This window comes from Homo sapiens, chromosome 5 (assembly GCF_000001405.40).
Source record: "Homo sapiens chromosome 5, GRCh38.p14 Primary Assembly".
NCBI classification, from domain to species: Eukaryota; Metazoa; Chordata; class Mammalia; order Primates; family Hominidae; genus Homo; species Homo sapiens.
Window position 1 is genome coordinate 102,579,132 of NC_000005.10, and position 21,712 is coordinate 102,600,843.

At 36.1% G+C, this 21,712-nt stretch overlaps 1 long non-coding RNA gene across 1 annotated transcript in view; it reads left to right on the forward strand.

Moving 5' to 3' along the window:
* The first annotated feature begins 2,236 nt into the window (after positions 1 to 2,236).
* Positions 2,237 to 21,712, forward strand: part of LINC00492 (long intergenic non-protein coding RNA 492) — a 36,222-nt gene continuing 16,746 nt past the window's right edge. Inside the window, exon 1 of the long non-coding RNA NR_047462.1 lies at positions 2,237 to 2,435. This is a non-coding gene — a long non-coding RNA (long intergenic non-protein coding RNA 492). The remainder of the gene's footprint in view (positions 2,436 to 21,712) is intronic.

The following is a 21,712-nucleotide window of genomic DNA, read 5'->3' on the forward strand; positions in this document are numbered from 1 at the left end:
TTAAATATGGAGAATCAGAACCTATATGTATCTCATAATTAATCGTATATATGTAATGATGTTTTTCATAGGCTGAAATTTTATCAACAAAATACAGATTACATGTTTGGTCAACAGTATGTGCATATTCACAAATGCCTGGTCCTCAAGAGAATGTAAGGATATAACATAATAATATAGAGATGATTTGCCCATCTTACAAAGATAAAATACTGAAAATGCTTTCAAAGTTATGAAAGTTTACTTTAATCTTCAGTCATACTACATTTTTCTATGATTTCTGGATCACTGTTGTTTAATAGAAATAGAAATATAATGTTTAATAGAAATATAATAGAAATATTAAAAAATTAAAGGTAATTAATTTTTTAATATTCATTTTCAAAAGTTTAAAAGAAACATAAAAAATAATTCCAATAATATATTTTTATTAATCCAATATATTAAAAATATCATTTTAACATTTAATAAATATTCAAAAATTATCACTGAGACTTTTTGTGTTGTATTTGTCATGCTTGCTCACTGAAATCTGGTGTGTATTTTACATATTCAACATATGTCAATTCAGACTAGCCCGTTTCACTTGCCAATAGTCACATGTCATGTGGCTAGTGGGTACTATACTGGATAACTCTAGATGAGGCAGATCATTATGCATTATACAGACTATGAATAAGTTCTGCGAATTATGAGGTACAGAAGGTGCCAATATTATCTCAAAAATAAACTGCACCCGGTACGTCACCTTGTAGTAAGGCATACAATTTTACTGAATATAAGTCAGCCTAGAAATCAACAAAGTATATTGAAGCATAAACCAACAAAACAAAAATTGCCTGACATTTGGTGCCACCCTTAGAATCACTCCTTCAGTCATAATTTAATTTGTCCACATTAAAAAGACATAGAAGTTACGGAAAGAAAAGAAAAGTTATATTTGAAAACGCTTCAAATTGTTTAAATATTAAAATTTCTTTTTTTAAAGCCTATTTCAAAAGTAAGCAGGGTTTGGCAAAACTTTTTTGTAAAGGGCCATATATTAGATACTTTAGGGGTTTTTTTTGGCCATACAATCTCCATTACAACCACTCTACTCTGCAGTAGGAGTGGGAAATAAGCCATTGACAATATGTAAACAAATGCATGTACCTGTGTTCATATGAAACTTTATTTACAAAAAAAAACAGATGATGGGGCCATAGTTTATCACCTCTGGTTTAGACTACCTTCCTTGCAAGTAAAAGAGCTCAAACTTGTTGCATATTTATTGGAAGGAGCAGGAAAAATAATCGTAGTCCGGATGTTCAGAAGATGTTGGCAGGAACCTATTTTCTCTCTATTTCTTGGTCATTTGCCTCTCCAGGTTGAATGCTCTTATGACACATGATCTCAGAAGGTGAGAAAAAAAACTCTCTGTCTTCTAGCAACTACATCAGTTCTTGAAAGGATATTGAGGCCTTGCTTAAGCCATTTTCCTATCCTTGGATCAATCAACATTCCAGGCCACTCACTGCTCAGCCCTGCTCACATGCCTACCTCTATAAAAGAAGAAGGAGGGACATTTGATTGCTAGACTAGCTAGATGAGAGAGAAGCAATTAACAAAAGGCCAAAAAGTCCACATAATTTATGAGAGAAAAGGAAAGTATAGGGCAGGGATAAATTACAGTGTTCACTATGATGGTTTTGCATACCTTCAACCTTAGATTGAAGGCAATTGCTAAAGACAATATTGCCCAAAAGCCTAATGTTTTGCAATGAAATTCTTTAATAAATATATATATATTAATGATATATTAATGACAAATTGGAAGCTACTCACCAATATCATTATATCTCAGGACATTCTCATTACTGACCCTTAACTCCAGTGGAAACAAAGGAATACTAAGAGGAACCAAGACTTTTTCATCTGAAAGTGTCAGGCACTCAAGTGAAATAGGGGACAAACACAGATTTTAGGTATGATAATAGCCTCCTGATAAGCAAAAGACAAATGTACAGAGTATAGTAACAGATACCCAGTGGTACATACTGGAGGAAAATCACCAGAGTGGAAATTTCTAACAGGTTGGTCAAGAAATAAGTCATATGATCTAGATCAAGGGAATGTATCCTGAATCAGGTCACTGGCAATTGCAAGAATGCAATTCCAGCCTTACAGCATTTCAGTTGCTATTCAGGTTTCTAAAACATGGTTTCAGATACCAGGGCCAGAAAGAAGAATGAATATTAGGTTTCAGAAGAAAAAGCACAACAGTGTTAAGTGCTGCTGAAGGTAATGCTAGCAATTAATACCTGGCTGTCATTCTGGAGTTCCTTTTCTCTCTTCCATCCAAGGTCAAGATTTTCCTAACATATAACACAAGGCTGTGCCTAAAGTGAATGACTGATTCTTCAATGAGGGAAGAAGACACAGAAGCTAAAAACAAGGTAGGGTCTTAAGACTAGAGGATATTTTTAAAGATTGTAAATAAAGTTTCTACTCTTGGAAATAGTTGCCTTTTAATTTTTAATGATAATTTAAGTTCTACAGGCAATAAATAGAAATTTGATAGTGTTTTGAAGCTTATCTGTAAAAGTAATATTTAATTGTTTTCCATGACGTATTTCTAGGTTATATCCTGATACATAATAGAAATGGAAATATTTTCTATGGTACAATGCTGAGAAAATAAAGCTTCAATATCATAGAAAATAGTTTCCATTTCAACCGTGTACTAATTAGGGCATCACCTGAATTGCTGTAATAAAGGGACCCCAAAATACAGTGGCTTAAATATGACAGGATGTATTTTTCTCTAACATAACCCAAAGTAGGGTGGTCTGGTCACCAAGTTTCTGCAGGTTCCCAGGCTGTCAGGAGAGCTCAGCCAACATCAACATTCATTTCCATCACTAAGTCCAAGGAAACTGCCAGTTGTCACCTGTTTTCAGTCTGTGAGAAGCAGAAAAGACAAAAGAATTTAAGAACAGCAGTTTCTTAATAAGGACGTTGCAAGGAGGAAGCATCACATATCTTATCCAGTTATATCTCACGGTGAGAGCTTTGTCATAGGACCTTCCCTAGGTGGGTAGCTACGGAGAGGTTGAAGTGGGTTGGAGTTCTATTAAATAAGAAGAAAGACTGGATGTTGGAGCTTGATTAGCAATATCTGCTACCAATTATTCATGCCTTTAGCTTGCATTTAATAAGTACCTAATGGGGGTCAATTACCACTCAAAACATTTAAAAATGATTTTAAACAAATAGAATGTAGCCCTTGCTCTTGAGAAACACATGGTATAGTGAAGATGTCCATGGAAACAATTTTAGCAAAGTAACTGTATTTTTTTGGAGTATGTATATGAGGTTCTCCGAGCATGGAGGATAAAGCACTACTGTCCACATGAGAAACTCAAGAAAAGATTCCTAGTGGAAGTAGTGCAGTGTTTGAACTGAATCTTTCAAAATGATTAAAAGTTTACTAGGTAAAGTAAGAAAGAGTGCTTTGGTCAGCAAAGGCTAAACAGAACACTGGCTTTGGGGGGTGGGATAGATCTATTTCAGTGTGTGTGTGTGTGTACATGCATGCACATGGATATATGTTTGTGTTAAAGCAGAGAAGTCGAGTGGGGGGAATGATGAATGACAGAATATGAGTCAAAAGGTATACAAGGACCGTATTATGGGTGGCCTTGTGAGGAATTTGGAGTGGATTATGAAGCCATTGCAAGACTTTAAGCAACAGAGAGATGTGGTTCATTGGCATTTCAGAAATTTCATTTTGGTTGAAGTCTTCTCTTACAAGGGCTTCGAGGGAAGAAATATTCTTCATTTTGATGTAATTCAACAAATATTTATTGAACACTGTCTTTGTGCCAGCCCTATTTCCTCCTTGTTACCCTAGAAAAAGCCAACTTTCAGTGAAATTTGTTGTCTGAAGACATTTCCCTGTGTGACAAATTCTCTCTTGGGACATACCCTAGTCTTTAGAGGACAGAAAGGGTGAGAGAGAGTGGATCCTAAGTAAAATATAATCTTTCACTTATACAGGTCTCCAGTTTCAGCCCCATTGAGTTATCATAGCAGACTCATCAGGTTCTCATGTAAACAAACAAACAAAAACAAAACAAAATCTTCCAGCAAGTATACCCCTCTAGGTTTCAGACATGACCTGAATTCCAAAGGTGAGCAAAATTGAGAGGGAATCAATAAAAGCATCATATCTTATCAGGAAGTTGGTCTATCACCCATGAGAGCAGTACTGAATTTCATGGCTGGATATCATTTTATTTATTGTGACTACAGAAGAAATGATAGTATCAGATGCCAGGAAATTACTACTCTCAGTTACTTAAGAAGAGAACCAGCTCCACGGTTTTGCATAATCTGTCACCACTCTTTATGGGTGAAAAGAACTTGAATTGGGAATTTTATCACTGTATAATTAGATCTGGCTAGATATATTCCAAACTATTTATTTCTATCTTTTGTGTAAAATCTTTATTCTACTTTCTAATGACTTCAGTCAACTCGTTAAAAACTATTACAGTAATGAAGATATTAAAATACAAAAAAATGAAATAAACAAATTCTGGAAATACCCTCCAGAATATTTATTTTCACCACCAGATGGCATTATTTAGTTTTCTTAAGGTTAAAGAAAAACTACTAGCATAATACCATCAGCAATAGTTTAATATGAATGAACGATCTTGTCTCAAACAAAAAAAAAATCATCAAAGAAATGAATTAATGTCTGTCCTTTGTTCCAGCGCCATCCATCTGTACATAATGTTGCTTCCTTTGAAATCAGTTGAAGATTAAATATGTATAAGGTACACACTAGGGGGCACTGAGATAGGAAAATAGGGCCACACGTGCCCATGTTTGGAAACAGATGGTTTGAAAGTGAATAAAGATAATTAATAATAATGATGTCTTGCCTGCATGAAGCAGCTGTCCTCCCCAGAACTCAAGAGCTTCTTTCATTCCCTCATTTATCCTCCCAACACCTAGTCATGACATCAACAATGGAATGGATGCATCTATTTGTTTTGTTTGGTTTTTGGAGTTTTTTTTTTTTAACCTCCATACAGTAATAACCCTTTCTTACGCAACAGACCTACATCGTTAGATGGTTACAATCGCAACATATGTAAATACCTTGCAGGTTGTGCTAAATAATGGAACTAAAACTTTCATACCACAAATACATAAAACTGCTTGAGTTTGTGGGAAAGGAAGGCAGAATAACTTGGAAATATCTGTTATAGAAATTCAGACCTGAGAGTACTACTCTATGTGACAGATAGCTTTTTTAAATGTGGATTGAGATTGAGATATGTTATTCATATAAGATTTGAACTAGAATAAAAGGTATCTGATTATTAAATTAGATAACATTTTTGTTTGATTTTTCCCCACTGAACTATACTACTTCCTTTTCAGAATCCCAAGTCTTGTGAATATTAAGGGACCTACAACCTTGTTTTCTAAGAAACATTAGAACTTGAAATCATAATTGTTTACGTGTTAATCTAAGGAGAGTTTTAATTTTTTAAACATCTATTTACTGAGAAGTTGTTATCTGATAAGAGTATACCAGCTCAGGAAGCAATAATTTTTTTAAAGGTAAATTTAAATTGTCAGTACTTTAGAAGAAATTAACTTAAAACTTGTGTCCCATTATGTGCTAAAACAGTGTCTCAAAAAGCAGAAACTACAACTGTTAGGACCCTAACAGAAGAGAATGGAGTAGGTCCGAAACTCCTTTTTAAAAAATGCTAGCTAGATCCTTTGATCTATAATTTTCTTCTCTTCTATTATCCAGTGGGCTGCTTCCAACTTTTCACTCCAGCCCCATTTTCTCCTTCTCCCAAACCTGCAAATGTCCCCAGCTGACGAGGACAGCCATCAATTACTGGGTGTTTTTTGCTCCTTTATTGAATAGAGATCATAGGATGCCTCAAAGGGAATAAAAACCTTCAGAATTAATGCCCAACAGATACAGCCCCCTTCCCTTAAGCAAGGCCCTTGAAGTTATTACTAGTTCCTACAAAGATTTAATCCATTATTTTGAAATGGTATTATGATTTCTTTTTCTAATTCTGTAGATCCCTTCTTGCAATAGAATTGCAAGAGAAGCGTTATTTTCCCATAAATCACAGTATCTATTACCTCCCTTTAACTCTCTTCCCTTTAATTGCTGCCAATTCTGAATACACTTCTACAGCTTGCATGATATTATTGGGATGTGAATGACCTGCATCAAAGAAACCTGAAGAGACATTAGGATTTCTGGGTCATGAAATCAGCGCCAGTTTAACAACGAATGTCAAATAAACCCAAATCATCCCAAGGTCTGCATGAGATTTGGGCTAGTTTTTTGGTTAATTGCTGGTCTAATGAATCTTTGGAATGACCCAGCAGTCCAGAACACTTTTCTAAGCTCTTACTAGTTCTGAGAGTGTCACGTTTGAATCCACAGTCATTATTTACTTTATGTCTCTTGAATAGTTACAGGCCTTACTTCCCCCATACAGTCCCAAATCTTTACCCCAGCCAACACATGAAATTATTCATCATTCAAAAACCTTTTACTAATGTTCTACTACGTTGCAGACACTGTAGTCTATACAAAAAACATAATAAAAAGAATAAAACTTAGATTCTCAAGCGCTTAGATTCTAATGACTTTTGGGGAAATATCAGAGAGTAATTGTCAGGCAAGAGAAGTGTCAAGTAACCTGGATATGAGAACAGGAGTTCTATAGAGCTCCAACCTATTCCTTTTTAAAGCTGTTTAATTTTCTACTTCAAATTCAGAGCCAATAGATGCTAAAGGAAAGAGTGTGTTGTCAGATGAGTTCAAATTCCATGATTTATACTTACTCTTGGGTGACTTGGGTAAGTTATTTTAATTCTCTCAGCTTTCCTTTTCTCACCAAGTTTATGAAGACAGACGACGACTACCTCGCCAGATGGCTGGGAGGATTAAATGAGATGGTATCTGGAAAACACTTAACAATATGCTTGGCCTTCTACCAAATGTCTACTAAGGACATCTTAGGGTTAGCATTTATTGATCAGCATTTTTTGAGACCAGGATCTTTGCCAGGTAATTGCTCATCTACTAGCTCATGACTTCTACACATCAGCTTGGAGGTAATCCTTATTATTCTCATATCAAAAGGAGACTCAGAAAGGCGGCTTGCCTAATGTTACACAGCTAGCAAGTTGTAGGGCTAGACTCAAAATCATGCCTTTTCATTTCAAGCTCAGGGTTTTTTCTTTATACATTTTCAAGGAATACAACATTGTCTTGGAAAAGACATTCCCCAGAGGACTTTCACAGGTGCTCAGAGTTATTTAGTCCAGTTCTGCAACCCCACAGGTCAAAGTTGTGTTGCTGAAACCTGCCCTTGTCAGGTTTATGTAGGGAAGATAGAATAAAGCCTCCTCCCTTGAGGTGAGGCAGAGAGCATTTATGCTTTTCCCCACAGAGCGTATGTTGCCACAGTCTGCAGAATAAGAAGGAAAGAATTGAGTTGATTGTTCTTTGTGCAGTAATGAGATGGGTGGATTCCCAAAGTTATTGGTACCCCAAATGTGATGGAGCAATTGGCATAGCCAGGTACATAGAAGTGTTTCTCTATGCCTGCTCTTTAGAACAAACCCTCAAAGGAGACAAAAGCTTCAGCATGAAAGGCATGAGAGCAAGCAACAAATGCCAGAAGCCTATCAAAGGACTCGGATACCTTTAAGATAAGCTCTTAGCTCTGAACTAAACTGTTCTCTGAACTAAAGCTCTTCTGTGAAATAAGGCCAGCATTCTACCTGAATTTGCCTTTAGAGATGAATCACATGATGAAAGGCAGATGTGTCCATGTATCATTAATGAACTCAGAATCTGATGCTTGTATTAGTAAATGTCTTGATTCAAAACAGTATTGAGAGCAGAATGTCTAATAGGTAAATTATCAGTTGGATTTATTTTAGCACTGTAAATTCACCATCCATCATTCATGTGCCAAGAGCTACCTGGTAACAGTTTTCATTCATCCACCTTAGTGGGTTGGAGAATACTAATTGCTCTATTTTATTTTCACTTTTACTCAGCATCCTATTTCCCAACTCTTATCTATCATTGATAAGATTTTTAATTTACTGAACAGGAAATTTGATTCTAAACTCAGTGTAATACTTTGCATATACATTAGCAATATATAACATTCTTTGGAACTCAGCAAATATTTAAATTTTAAAAAATATTTTATACGCATAGATGGTTTGAAATCAATGTCCTTAAATATTAGCAATTAAATGAAATATTGTGCTGCTCTTCAGAATTTTAACTTTACTTTCAATTTTTTTAATAGAATTTAAGGCATTGCTGATTAGTGTGTGAGTTTGTGTGTATATGTGTATAGCAGGGTTCATAAAGCATTAGATCCCCCAATATTTCTAGAAAAGAATTATGTCTTGAATATATCTTTGTTTACTCCCAATTCATTGTTTTTACAATGGTGTTCTCAACTACTCTTGACCCAGATTTTTCACCTTAGTTGCCTCCCTTGAATACTCCCACATCATGCAGTACATATTTCACTTCAACCCTTTTTTAAACTCAGAACTTGAACTGTCACAATTTTCCATTCCCAGCGCCATTTAGGAGTCATGAAGGAACACCTTCTCTTGGCTTCTCATTTCTAAAGGTCCCAATGCCTTCCAAAGGTGCTGCTTTGGCCTACCTCCTTCATAAACATCTGTCAATTACCTTCATAATGACAATGCTGCCTTCATCTATAACTTCCAGAAACTTCTCCCACCTTTCTAGATAATATGGTACTGAGCACACATTTTTCTTCACAACCGCCATTATTTGTCATCATTCTAAGTAACAAAAAATGTATTTATGAATTATGAGCCACCTCAGTATCATGCTATTCATGCCCCTCCTTTCATCAATGACATGCATCTACCTCTATCTCTGGACATTTACCTTGCGGACGGATCACATTATCTAAAAGCACTACACTACAACCAAGATATCAAGTTCACTGCACTTTTTCTCCACCACAGCCTCTTTCTCCTCACAACTCATAGAACTCCTTCCTCTCGTGCTTTGCAGTCACTCAAACCTCTACACTTTACTCCATCCTTGATGCCCTTTTGGCTTTACTTGGTCCTTTTGTCTACTGAATCTGTGGGTTAACTTTTGTAGAGATTCTCTCTCTTACTTAAATATCCAACAATATGCTAAGATCCACAAAGAGCAGAAAAAATGTGATATGTAATCCTTATTCATAAGCAGTTTACAGCTTAAGAGAGGAGTTAAGAAATTTGTGTGTGGATGTTTCTACTTATTTCTTTTTCAAAGTAATGACAATAACTTTTGCCTTAATTTTCCTCAGCGTTAACACAGTCTTCTTTCCAGTCATCTGGCTTCTTAACTGTAAACTCCATTTTCACATTTGAAAAAATACTTACGCCTGAAGTATAGAGAACTAGAGAAAAATGACTTCAGTTTGCTCTCTTTTCTTATAGTGATCTTATAAAATGTTCTTGCATCCATTTGGAAAGGATTTTTCCTTAATTATTTTGAATACTGTCTTTAAATTTTGTGGCAATTAAAATTAAGAACTGGTTAGCCACTTGTGATGGTTAATTTTATGTGCGAACTTGTTTAGGTTGACGTGCCCAAATTTTTGGTCAAACACCAGTCTACACATTGATACGAAAATATATTTTAGGTATGTTTAACATTTAAATTGTTAGACTTGGAGTAAAGCAGATCACTCTCCATAATGTGGTTTGGTCTTACCTAATCAGTTAAAGGCCATAAGAGAAAACACTGAGGTCTATCAAGGAAGAAGGAATTCCACTAGCAGACTGCCTTCAGACTGGAGCCACAACATGAACTCTTCCCTGGATTTCCAGCCTGCCATCCTTCCACGCAGATTTTAGAATTGCCAACTCCCACGATCATATAAGCCAATTACTCGAAATAATCTCTTGAAATATATATATATATATCAAGATTATATATACATATCAAGATAACATATAGATATATCAAGATAATATATAGAGATATATATCTCAAGATGATATAAATATATAATATCAAGATAATATATAGATACATAGATCTCATTTGTTCTAGAGGAACTTAACTAATGTACCACATTATACTGTGTGAGCAGCTTATGATAAAATAATATTCTTTGATACAGAAATCTTTATTGTTATGAAATCATCAAGAAATTCTGCTGCTTGGTTTGTTTCACAAACCAAGCAGCATAATTTTCATTATTAAAATTCTATTAAAAACAGAAAAATCTAATTGCAGCATTAATAATCAAATATTTGGCAAAATTCAACATGTTGGTTTCATTTAAATAAATTGAATTAACTGTTGCTTCTCCTTGGGTAATGGGATTATCAAGATAAGTACAGAGTTTCAAATATGGCAGAAAGTGACTTATAAATAGCACTCAAAAATTCACATCAATCTCTCACCTATACATTAATTCACCAGTGAATTATAAATATCTATTTTTTTCAACAAATTTTGTGGTTTCTGTTTTTAGTTTATGAGGCAAAAAGCACCAGAGCAACATTAGCACATAAAGTAGAGAAGAAATTTTTCACTGCTTACTTACTGCCAGTCACATTCGAATAAGAAAGACAAGGATTTGCTAGACTAAGGGAAAACATGGCTCTAACCCAATATGATTCATTTCTCAGGGTTGGAAGGACAAAGAAGACATTGTGTCTTGGATGTCTTTTTGTTGTTGTTATTGTTATAGCACAATAGAAAACTAATCATAGCTAATACTAAAAACAAATCGTGTTAGTAAAATGAACTGTAATTGGAAACAGAACAGATCTCACAGAAGATGGAAGGGCAAGAAATCAAGCCACAATAGGAGGAGACCTGGGAGGAACTTAATGAGTTCAAGTCTGTAGTGCCTGATTATTTTCATAATGAAGTGTTTATGAAATTACCAGAGACCTTATGGGTCAAATGGCTGTTGTGTTTGAGAACTTGAACAAGATTGGACAGGTTTAAGAAGGTTCAAAAGAACCTCTACTTCTGCTTCAAAAAGGAAAATGCAGTAATAACCTAGAAAATCATAAAGCAAAAAACTTAGCTGGAAAGAATAGTGAGAGGAAATCAAGCAAAAATGATTGGCAAGACCCTTATAAAAAACAGGGCAATGGGTGATTATCTGTTTATTTTCTTAAATAATAAATGTAAAATAATAATTTAATCAATGGTAAGGTGTTGGTCCTGGCATATTAGAGCGGAGATACAGATTTTAGTCTCTTGAAAATTTACTTAAGATCCTGCATGATACTCTCCATCAATATTACAGGAAAATAAGTTTCCGCATGGCAGCTATAGTATCTGCTAATTTATCAAACATAATTGGAAAATGAGGTCTACTCTCCTTCTTTTCCACAGTGAAATTTTTAGATGAGTTAGGAAAAGAGATGTTGAAATATCTATAGAGAGGCATTATGACACAGTTACGTGTGCAGACTTGCTATTCAAACACCTTAAGTTTAAATCCTCATTCTGTTTCTTACAAGGAATGCGATCTTGGGCAATTTGCACAATCTCCCCAAGATTCACTTTCCTTATCTGCAAAATGGGAATAATAATAGTATCATCTAATGAAAAATTAATGGGATTATACAAGTAAAAGACTTGGCAGAGTGACTGCTCAATTAATGATAGTACTAGGTAATTTAATAGTAATCCTTCTATTTCCCACTAAATTGTGAGTCCCTCAAGAGCAAAGATTACACATTGCTCTTCCATATGCCCACTGTATATAATAAGATGCCTAACAAACTACCGGCCTGGTATAAATTCAAGATTTCATATTTACTGCTCACATTTCATACTTAATAACTTATATGGGGCAGATACTCCAAGTTAATAATAACAGGAAACAAGAACAGTGTGCACTGGACATGAGACAGTCTGGAAGAGGCAGGAAGGGAAAAGATGTGCTGCAGAAGGTAGGAAGGGAAGGGATATGCCTGGCTGGAGGGAAGAGCCAATCAGTTCTTCATTGATCAAGGCAAGTAAGAGTCAAACATCAGGGCAGGTAGGCTAATAAAATGACACCAGAAACACGAATTCAGGCGTGAGCTTTATTCTTGACCCAAGCACCGTCTACTCCATCCCCTTTTATAATTCCTATTGGAATCATAGATATTTTCAAGATGAAACTGCTACCTATTGATAGACAGAAATACTATGGTTGTATGTGGATTTTATGACTACAGAAAATATATACTAGCTGGGGCCACATGTGTGATTTTATACTTAGAAGAACTGAAGGGAAAATCAGATAACCATCTAATAATTTCTTCAACAAATTCTGTGGAATGCTTATTATGCACTAGGTGCTAAGGACACAAGTATACATGAAACTGCCTGCTTTCTATCTGTTTATTGGAAAACTCTAACAGGCAGACATGTAAGCAAAAAAGTACAGGAATGTTAGAGAAAAGCCATTGAAATACGTGCAAAACTCTGTCAGTGCACTGAGAATGAAAGTCTTAAAATGAACTTGACAGAGGAAGTGGCGTCTGAGGGGTCTGTGTCCAGGGTGTGTAGGCTATTCAAGACTAAAGGAATAGTATCAGTTACCGATCTGAGGCTACACATAACACCAAGACTTGATACTGACTTGAGGCAGCTCCATGCTACGACCTGGCATTTAGAATCATTACAGCTTTTATGATAGCTGTCTTACTCATGCTCACAGTTTTTTCACTTTCAGGTTTCAACTGCTAGGTAGTCGAGGTGGCTAGGAGTCTTCTCTTATTGTGTTATGTGGGTTAATAAATGGTTGGAGTGTCTGAGGGAGCAGTTATCAGTTAAGTCATTAACAACTATATTAGTCCATTTTCACACTGCTGATAAAGACATACCCAAGACTGGGCAATTTACTAAAGAAAGAGGTTTCATTGGACTTACAGTTCCATGTGGCTGGGGAAGCCTCACAATCATGGCAGAAGGCAAGGAGGAGCAAGTCACATCTTATATGGTGGCAGCAGGCAAAGAGAGGAGCTTGTGCATGGAAACTCTTGTGTTTGTTTGTTTGTTTGTTTTGAGATGGTGTCTCACTGTGTCGCCCAGGCTAAAGTGCAGTGGTGCGATCTCAGCTCACTGCAACCTCTGCCACCCAGGTTCAAGCAATTCTCTTGCCTCAGCTTCCTGAGTAGCTGGGATTATAGGTGTCCGCCACCACACCTGCCTAATTTTTGTGTTTTTAGTAGAGACAGGGTTTCACCATTTTGGCCAGGCTCTCCTTGAACTCCTGACCTTGTGATCCACCTGCCTCGGCTGGAAACTTCTGTTTTTAAACCCATCAGATCTCGTGAGACTCATTCACTATCACAAGAACAGCACAGGAAAGACCTGCCCCCATAATTCAATCACCTCCCACTGGGTTCCTCCCATGACACATGGGAATTGTGGGAATTACAATTCAAGATGACATTTAGGTGGGGACACAGAGCCAAATCATATCATTCTGCCCCTGGCTCCACCAAATCTCATGTCCTCACATTTCAAAACCAATCATGCCTTTCCAATAGTCTCCCAAACTCGTAACTCATTTAAGCATTAACCCAAAAGTCCACAGTCCAAAGTCTCATCTGAGACAAGGCAAGTTCCTTCCGCCTATGAGCCTGTAAAATCAAAAGCAAGCTAGTTACTTCCTAGATACAATGAGGGTACAGGTATTGGGTAAATACAGCCATTCTAAATGGGAGAAATTGGCCAAAACAAAATTGTTACGGGGCCTATGCAAGTCCAAAATCCAGCAAGGCAGTCAAATTTTAAAGCTCCATAATTATCTCCTTTAACTTGAGGTCTCACATCCAGATCACACTGATGCAAGAGGTGGGTTCCCATGGTCTTGGGCAGCTCTGCCCCTGTGGCTTTGCAGGGTACAGCCTCCCTTTTGGCTGCTTTCATGGGCTGGTGTTGAGTGTCTGTTGATTTTCCAGGTGAACAATGCAAGCTGTCAGTGGATCTATCATTCTGGGGTCTGAAGGACAGTGGCTCTCTTCTCACAACTCCATTAGGCAGTGCCCCAGTAGGGACTCTGTGTGGGTGCTCTCACCCCATGTTTTCCTTCTGCACTGCCTGAGCAGAGGTTCTCCATGAAAGCCCAACCACTGCACCAAACTTCTGCCTGGGCATCGAGGCATTTCCGTACATGTTCTGAAATCTAGGCAGAGGTTCCCAAAACCAAATTACTGACTTCTGTGCACTTGCAGGCTCAACACCATGTGGAAGATGACAAGGCTTGGGGCTTGCACCCTCTGAAACCATGGCCTGAGCTCTACATTGGCCCCTTTCAGCCACAGCTGGAGTGTCTGGGACACAGGGCACCAAGTCTCTAGGCTTCACACAGCACAGGGACCCTGGGCCCAGCCCATGAAACCATTTCCTCCTAGACCTCCAGGCCTGTGATGGGAGGGGATGCTGTGAAGACCTCTGACAGGCCCTGGAGACATTATCCCCATTGTGTTGGGGATTAACATTTGACTCCTCATTACCTATGCGACTTTCTGCAGCAGGCTTGAATTTCTCCTCGGAAAATAGGTTTTTCTGTTTTACTGCATTGTGAGGCTGCAAATTTTCTGAAATTTTATGCTCTGCTTTCCATATAAAACTGAATGCCTTTAACAGTCACATCTTGAATGCTTTGCTGCTTAGAAATTTCTTCCACCAGATACCCTAAATCATCTCTCTCAAGTAGAAAAATTCCACAAATCCCTAGCGCAGGAGCAAAATGCTGCCAGCCTCTTTGCTAAAACATAACAAGAGTAACCTTTGCTCCAGTTCCCAACAATTACCTCATCTCCATCTGAGACCACCTAAGCCTGGACCTTATTGTCCATATTGCTATCAGGCTTTTGGTAAAACCCATTCAACAAGTCTCTAGGAAGTTCCAAACTTTCCCACATTTTCCTGTCTTCTTCTGATCCCTCCAAACTGTTCTAATCTCTGCCTGTTACCCAGTTCCAAAGTTGCTTCCACATTTTTGGGTATCTAATCATCAACATCCCATTCCTTGTACCAATTTACTGTATTAGTCCATTTTCATACTGCTGTTAAAGACATACCCAAGACTGGGCAATTTACTAAAGAAAGAAGTTTAATTGGACTTAGAGTTCCATATGGCTGGGGAAGCCTCACAATCATGGCAGAAGGCAAGGAGGAGCAAGTCACATCTTACATGGATGGCAGCAGGCAAAGGAAGGAACTTGAGCATGGAAACTGCTGTTTTAAAACCCATCAGATCTCGTGAGACTCATTCACTATCATGAGAACACTGCAGGAAAGACCTGCTCCCATAATTCAATCACCTACCACTGGGTTACTCCCATCACAGGTGGGAATTGTGGGAGTTACATGTCAAGATGAGATTTGAGTAGGGACACAGAGCCAAACTATATCAACAACCTTGGGAGAATATCCAGGAATATTTAATTGAGACTGATACTATGATAAAAAATCCTTGTGTTTTTCTTTGACTTGGATATTGGGAAGCAATTATGCTTACAGAATCTATAGGTGAAAGAAAGTCCAGAGGACTGAATTAGACCTTTTGCAATCATGATGAAATCAGACTACTGATTATAATAAACTTGACTATGTAAGTAAGGACAAATACTAGCAGACTTAGGCAGAAATTTCAAAATTAAGGAAAAGAATGTAAACTTAACTGTGTATTTAAAAATATGGTGGAAAATATATTTGAGCAATAGTGTATAATAATTGTCCCATATGCTATGAATTGTTAAAAGATTTCTTGAACTTGGCCAAAAAAAATCACATTACTGAAAGAACTTGAACTGAAAGAACTTGAACTAGAGAGTAATTAGTGGAGTGCCATAAAAATGTGTCATAGCTCAATGCTCTTCAGCTTCTCCTATCTTATTTTCCACAAACTAGTCACTTCAATGTCAAACTCCAACCATAATGAAAATACTAAGCACACTCTTTTCAATTACTTTTATAAGTTTGTAGACATTCTGTTCTGTTAATGCCCCAATAATTGTTAGGAAAACCCAATGTCCCACTTAAATTAGTGCTTCTCCATCCATCTGTGGCAATGGCCCAATTTTTATTTCTAATCCAGCAAAGATCAGTGTATTTATAAAATACTATAGAAAAGAATTTCTAGGTAAATAAAATTACATAATTAGACATAAAAAACCACTGGTCCAAATTGTTTATTGCTACATTCAAAGACATAAATTATTCTGTCAAATAATTTGACAGGCTTATAAGAGTTTCTAAATACTTTCAATGCATTTACTTATCTCATCATTGATCAGTAACAGTCATGAGTCAACACAGGTCCAAGAACTACACTTAGAGTAGCACTAACTTAGGTCCTGGTGTACACATATCTCTAATGGGGAAAAAATGTCTAGGGGAAGTGGCAGAACAATACAATGAAATGATGTTAAAAGCCCAGGACCAGAAGTCAGAAGCCTTGTGCTCCTGCCATACCAGCTCTTTCACTAACTAAAACTCCCTAGCCCTACAGTTTCTTTGCCTAGGAAATTATGGATTAGTCTAGATGATTTTATCAATCCTGTCTGGCTATTAAATGCCATGTTTCTATGAAATGAAGTCTTCTGAAGAAAAAAAATCAGCTAGGTTATTTACCTTGGAGAAGAGAAAGTAGTAAGAATTGTTAATTATGTTCTACTTTATTTGCATGGATGCAGTTCTTTCTCTTCTTCATGATCCACACAAAATTACACGTGGATATAGGCGTAGTGATTCTGCCATCTCAACGACCAACTTTAACCACCTACAAATAATTGGAAAGACTGCAGTAAACTTTAGACATATCTAAATCTTCTATTGCCATCTCCATAATAATTATAACTTTGGTGCTGGTGCCAGTTGTCATATAAATGAAGTTTTAGAATACTGAGAACCAGGATCACAAGTCCCACATCCATTAAGCTTAGAACAAAAGGACATAGACTTCAATTTTACTGTCAGTTATTTATATACATAACGTTATTTTCTGTTTAAAGCAAGTGTTGCTCAGCTTTGGAATACTTTACCCGCAAAGGTTATGTACTTTCGTTTTTTGAAGCTCATTAAAAAGAAGGTACTTTTTCCTTCCTGAAGTGGCTTGGTAATGACTAATGTAAAAGCAGAACAGTGAACAAAAGAGACTCCAGCACTGTGACTTGTTGTTGTATTGTTATGTAAGCCTTAACTTAAGAAAATATTAGCTGATAATAAGATTTAGCTTAATTCTCCTAGAAATAAGGATATTTCTACTCTTCAGCTCCAGTGTCTTTATTTCAGGCCCAGGTTAGCTTTTCAAGTTCTCTTTTTGTACCAGTAAGTGTGTCCTGGAAGTTTCTCTCTTGTGCTCCACTTCCGTCCTGACTTTAGAGTACTTCTTCTTTAGGTACATTCTATCAGAAATTAGTTTTAAAAATACAGACAAAGGCATGAGAGTAGGTAACTTTTTCTGGATCACTGAATATTCTTCCCAGTGGAGAAATTATTCCAGCCCAGCCTTTCTTAACAATGACACATCATGCCCATCAGGGTTCAGAGGTTAAAAACTGTCTACATATGCTGACTCCAAAAACTTCTGAAAAGATGAACTGTTCTTCCTCAGTTACAAACAGAAAACTGGAATGTTTGCCCAGATTGTCCATCTTAACTAAATGGTCCATCCTATGTAAAATATTCATCCTACCAAGTTCCAAACAGTAGAAGTAAAAAATATACCTTTGCTTGCACGAAATGAAAATGTTGTACGGGAAAAGTTTTATATAAGGATTAAAGAAGTTCACTGAGCCCAACAAGTCAGTTTGTTTCCTTTCAACACTCTATAGTCACTTGGAATTAGAGTTTCCAATTACTGACTCTGTACTTGAGCATGTGGTGTATTGAGTTATTGCTATCTGACTTAGATGAAAGTGTATTCCAAAAGTTCATTCAATTCAATTCAACACTATGTGTCCTAGCACCTATTAAGAGCAATCCACTTGTGTGGAGTAGTGTGAGTCACTACACCCCAGAAATTCCAATCTAGATGAGGAGGAAGACACACATATATAGATTACTCCAACAAAGGTCAAACTTTGATAACTGCCATGAAAGAGGCTCAAGACACCTAAAGAGTCAAGGGAGAAATTGATTCAGTATGAGGAAGGTTTCTTAGATGCTAGGGCCTCAAAAATAAGTAAAAATATTTTGAAAAATATATTTTCTACTATGAAAGTAATACAACTTCACTGTGAAAAATAAAAAATAAAAGTCATATACAATCCCACCAGCTGAAAATAATTACTTTTAACACTCACGCTAACATTTTTGTCTATATATATGTCAACACAAATATTCTTTAAAGAAAATTTAATAGTCATCAGTGTTCAGAGGTATACTCCCTGGTAATCTGCCTTTTCCCCTTAACAATACATAATTAACATTTTTCTATGTGATTAGCTATTCTTATGCAATAGGTATGGCTCATAAGTTTCATGTTTTCTTTTATTTCTTCTCCTGATTATGGCTGCTTAGAACTTGACATTAAGAGGATCATGAGACCGTCTTTTAATTAAATGAGAAAAAAACTACTTAGCATGTTTTCACAGGTTCAGGTTAATGATGCCATGCTACAAGTACCAACTATTGGCTGACTCACTTCTATATCTCTATTAATACCACATATTATTCTTTCAAATAATTGCAAATAAATTTTAACCAATTCCATGTTTTGGGGCATTTAGGTTGTTTTCTATGCCTGTTACACATAACTCTATGATGAATCTCCTTATGCATATATACCTGCTCATTTGTATAATTACATTGTTAAAAAAACTTTCTAGGATTGCTATTGCTGAATTGGAATATATGCAAAATTCTAAAGTTTTTTTTAGAGTATTGCCAAATTATAGTGCCAAAAAATTATGCCCATTTAAAAACCTTGCAATTGTACATGAATGCGCTAATTTCCTTCTTCCTTTTCCTATATGAACACTACGTTTCCTTTCTAAATATTTGCTCACCAATTTGACCGGGAACATGATCAGTTTTATCAGTATTTTAAGCAGTTCACAACTGTAGGCAAATGCAGGGGATAAAGAAGTGTTCCAGGTGCCCCAGGCCCAGCAAGAAGTCACAATAGTGAAAAGGACTCTCTTAGGGCTCCTGGAGCCCATGGGGCACAAAAAAAGTTCTACTATATTCTATTATTAACGTTTCATCTATTACATCAGAAGTTACCCACTTCTCATAGAACATCTTTAAATCTCTCACTCTAGTTGTGGGCCTGTCCAATTGTCTTTCTAATTCTGTCAATTTTGGCTTTATATGAGGCTATATTGTGAATGAAAAACAGTTATGATTATTATATCTTTGTGATGGATTGTTCATTGTATTACTTTGTAGTGTCACTATCTCTATTCATTCCTTTTGCTTTAAATTATAGTTTCTATACATTGCTATACAACTTATCTATAAGTAGTATAAAGCAGGAATTTTAAAAATTTAATCTAACCATCATTCTTTAACAGGTGAATTTAATCAATCTATATTATTACAATTTCTGATGTATGTGGACTTATTTCTAACATCTTTATTTTGTGTTTTCTGTTAACTACCTCTACTTCTTTCTTTTCTTTTTAATCCCTTACCTTTGGTTGATTTGCTAAAGTATTCTATATTTTCTACTTAAATCTGTGCTAGTTTTTAAACCTTAGATCTTCATCTTAACTTGTATAATTAGCCATATATTGTTCTAACAAAGCTATTATTCCACATTCTGATCCTCCTCCCAACATAGCAATATTTAACATCACCACACCCTATCATATTATTTTGTTTAAAATATTAGTATATAGAATTTTTTTAACTGCAGGTTTTTTTAACTGTACATAATTAAATTTACCAATACATTATCAGTTTCTATGTTTGCTGTTGTTTCTTGCATCCTTTGCCTTCATTCATGTCTCATCTTGCAAAGTTAATTGGAATCTATGGATCATAAACTCTTTAAGGCTTACAGTGTCTAAAAATGTCTTACCTTTGCCAACATTACAGATTTATAGTTTAGCTGGTTATCAAATTCTAGATTGAAGATCTACGTATCTCTACATGCATTGAAAATATTCCACTGCATTCCGCAATCTATTAGTTTAAATTTTATTTCTCATTTTATTATAGGGTAAATATCCAGTAGCTTTAAAAATTTTTTTTTAAATTTTGACATTTTGCAGTTTGACTATGGTTTTCTAGTCATGGATGTATCATTATTTATTTTGTTACTCAGAGTTACTTTGATCTTAGGGCTCATTATTTTCTTCAGTTTGGGAGAAAGTTTAGCAACAACCTCACTAAATATTGCTTCTTTGTCATTCCCTCAACTATTCTTTCTATCAATCTCCTCTCTTAACTGCTCTTTCATTTTATTTATCTTTTTTTTTGTGCTGCTTTCTGGGTCATTCCTTCCAATTTATTATTTTTCCTATAGAGTTTATTCAGTCTATTGTAGCAGTAGATTGTGTTTCCAAAGATAAACACAACACTGTCTCCCGTCCCACGTGCTTTTTGCAATGAGACTTTACCAATCCTGCCAGGGAGAGATTGAGTCTGTGTTCCTTCCCCATGAACCTAGGTCAGTCCTATATGCAGCTGACCAATAGACTGTGGCACAGTGACACTGTGCCCATGCCAGTTCTTCAAGAGGCCTTGCATTTTTTGCCTTCATATTCTCTCCAGTAAACCAGCTAATGTGCTTTAACAAAGCATAAGCTAGATTACTGCATGATGAAACACCAGGTGGACAGAAAAAAGCAACATGGTGAAAGCCTGAGACTTGTGAATGAAGGATTTCTGGGACCTTCTAGCACAGTCCAGGCACCGTCTGACCGCAGCTAAATAAGGCACCCCAGCCAATGTTCCTAACTGAACACTCCCCCAAGGTCCCAACCTAGAATCATGAGAAGACTTGTTTTAAGCCACTAAATTTTGGGGTAGTTTCTTAAACTGTAATGAATAACTGAAGTAATTACATTTTTACTTCAATGACTATATTTTTTATTTCTAAGAAGTGTAATCAATTATATTTAATATCTACCAGTTTCATTTTTGTCTGTGTTAATTAATAATTTGTTGTCTTTTAAAAGTGGAAACCATGCCTCATTCATCTGTTTGAACATCCAAAGCATACTTATTTCAAATCTTTTTCATCTGGATTAATTTTTTGCTTTGATTCTTGATTTTGTTTGTGTTTCTTCTGACATTAGATTTCTTTATGACTTGGGCAGGAGCAGGGATTGAAATACATTGTGAGTAATAAGATTTTTCTTTTCTTTTTTAAACCTCCTCTTCTATATCTCTCCCAGTCTACTTGTTTTGCAGTTGCCTTAAGAGGAGATACAATTTCTATTAGAGGAAAAATTAACCTATATACTACTCTATTCCATTTTAAGAGACTGATGAGACTGATACTAAGAAGTGAGCCAAAGGGATGGAAATCTAAACTATTTAGAATAAGAAGATACTTAATATGTGAGAACAGTCTTTCAGGCAAAAGAAACCTCAGGTATATGGCAGGAAGTTACAGTCTACAGATAAATTTTCCATGCTTATTTGCCTGAATGCAAAACCTTTAGATTGACGCAAATCTTCAGAAAA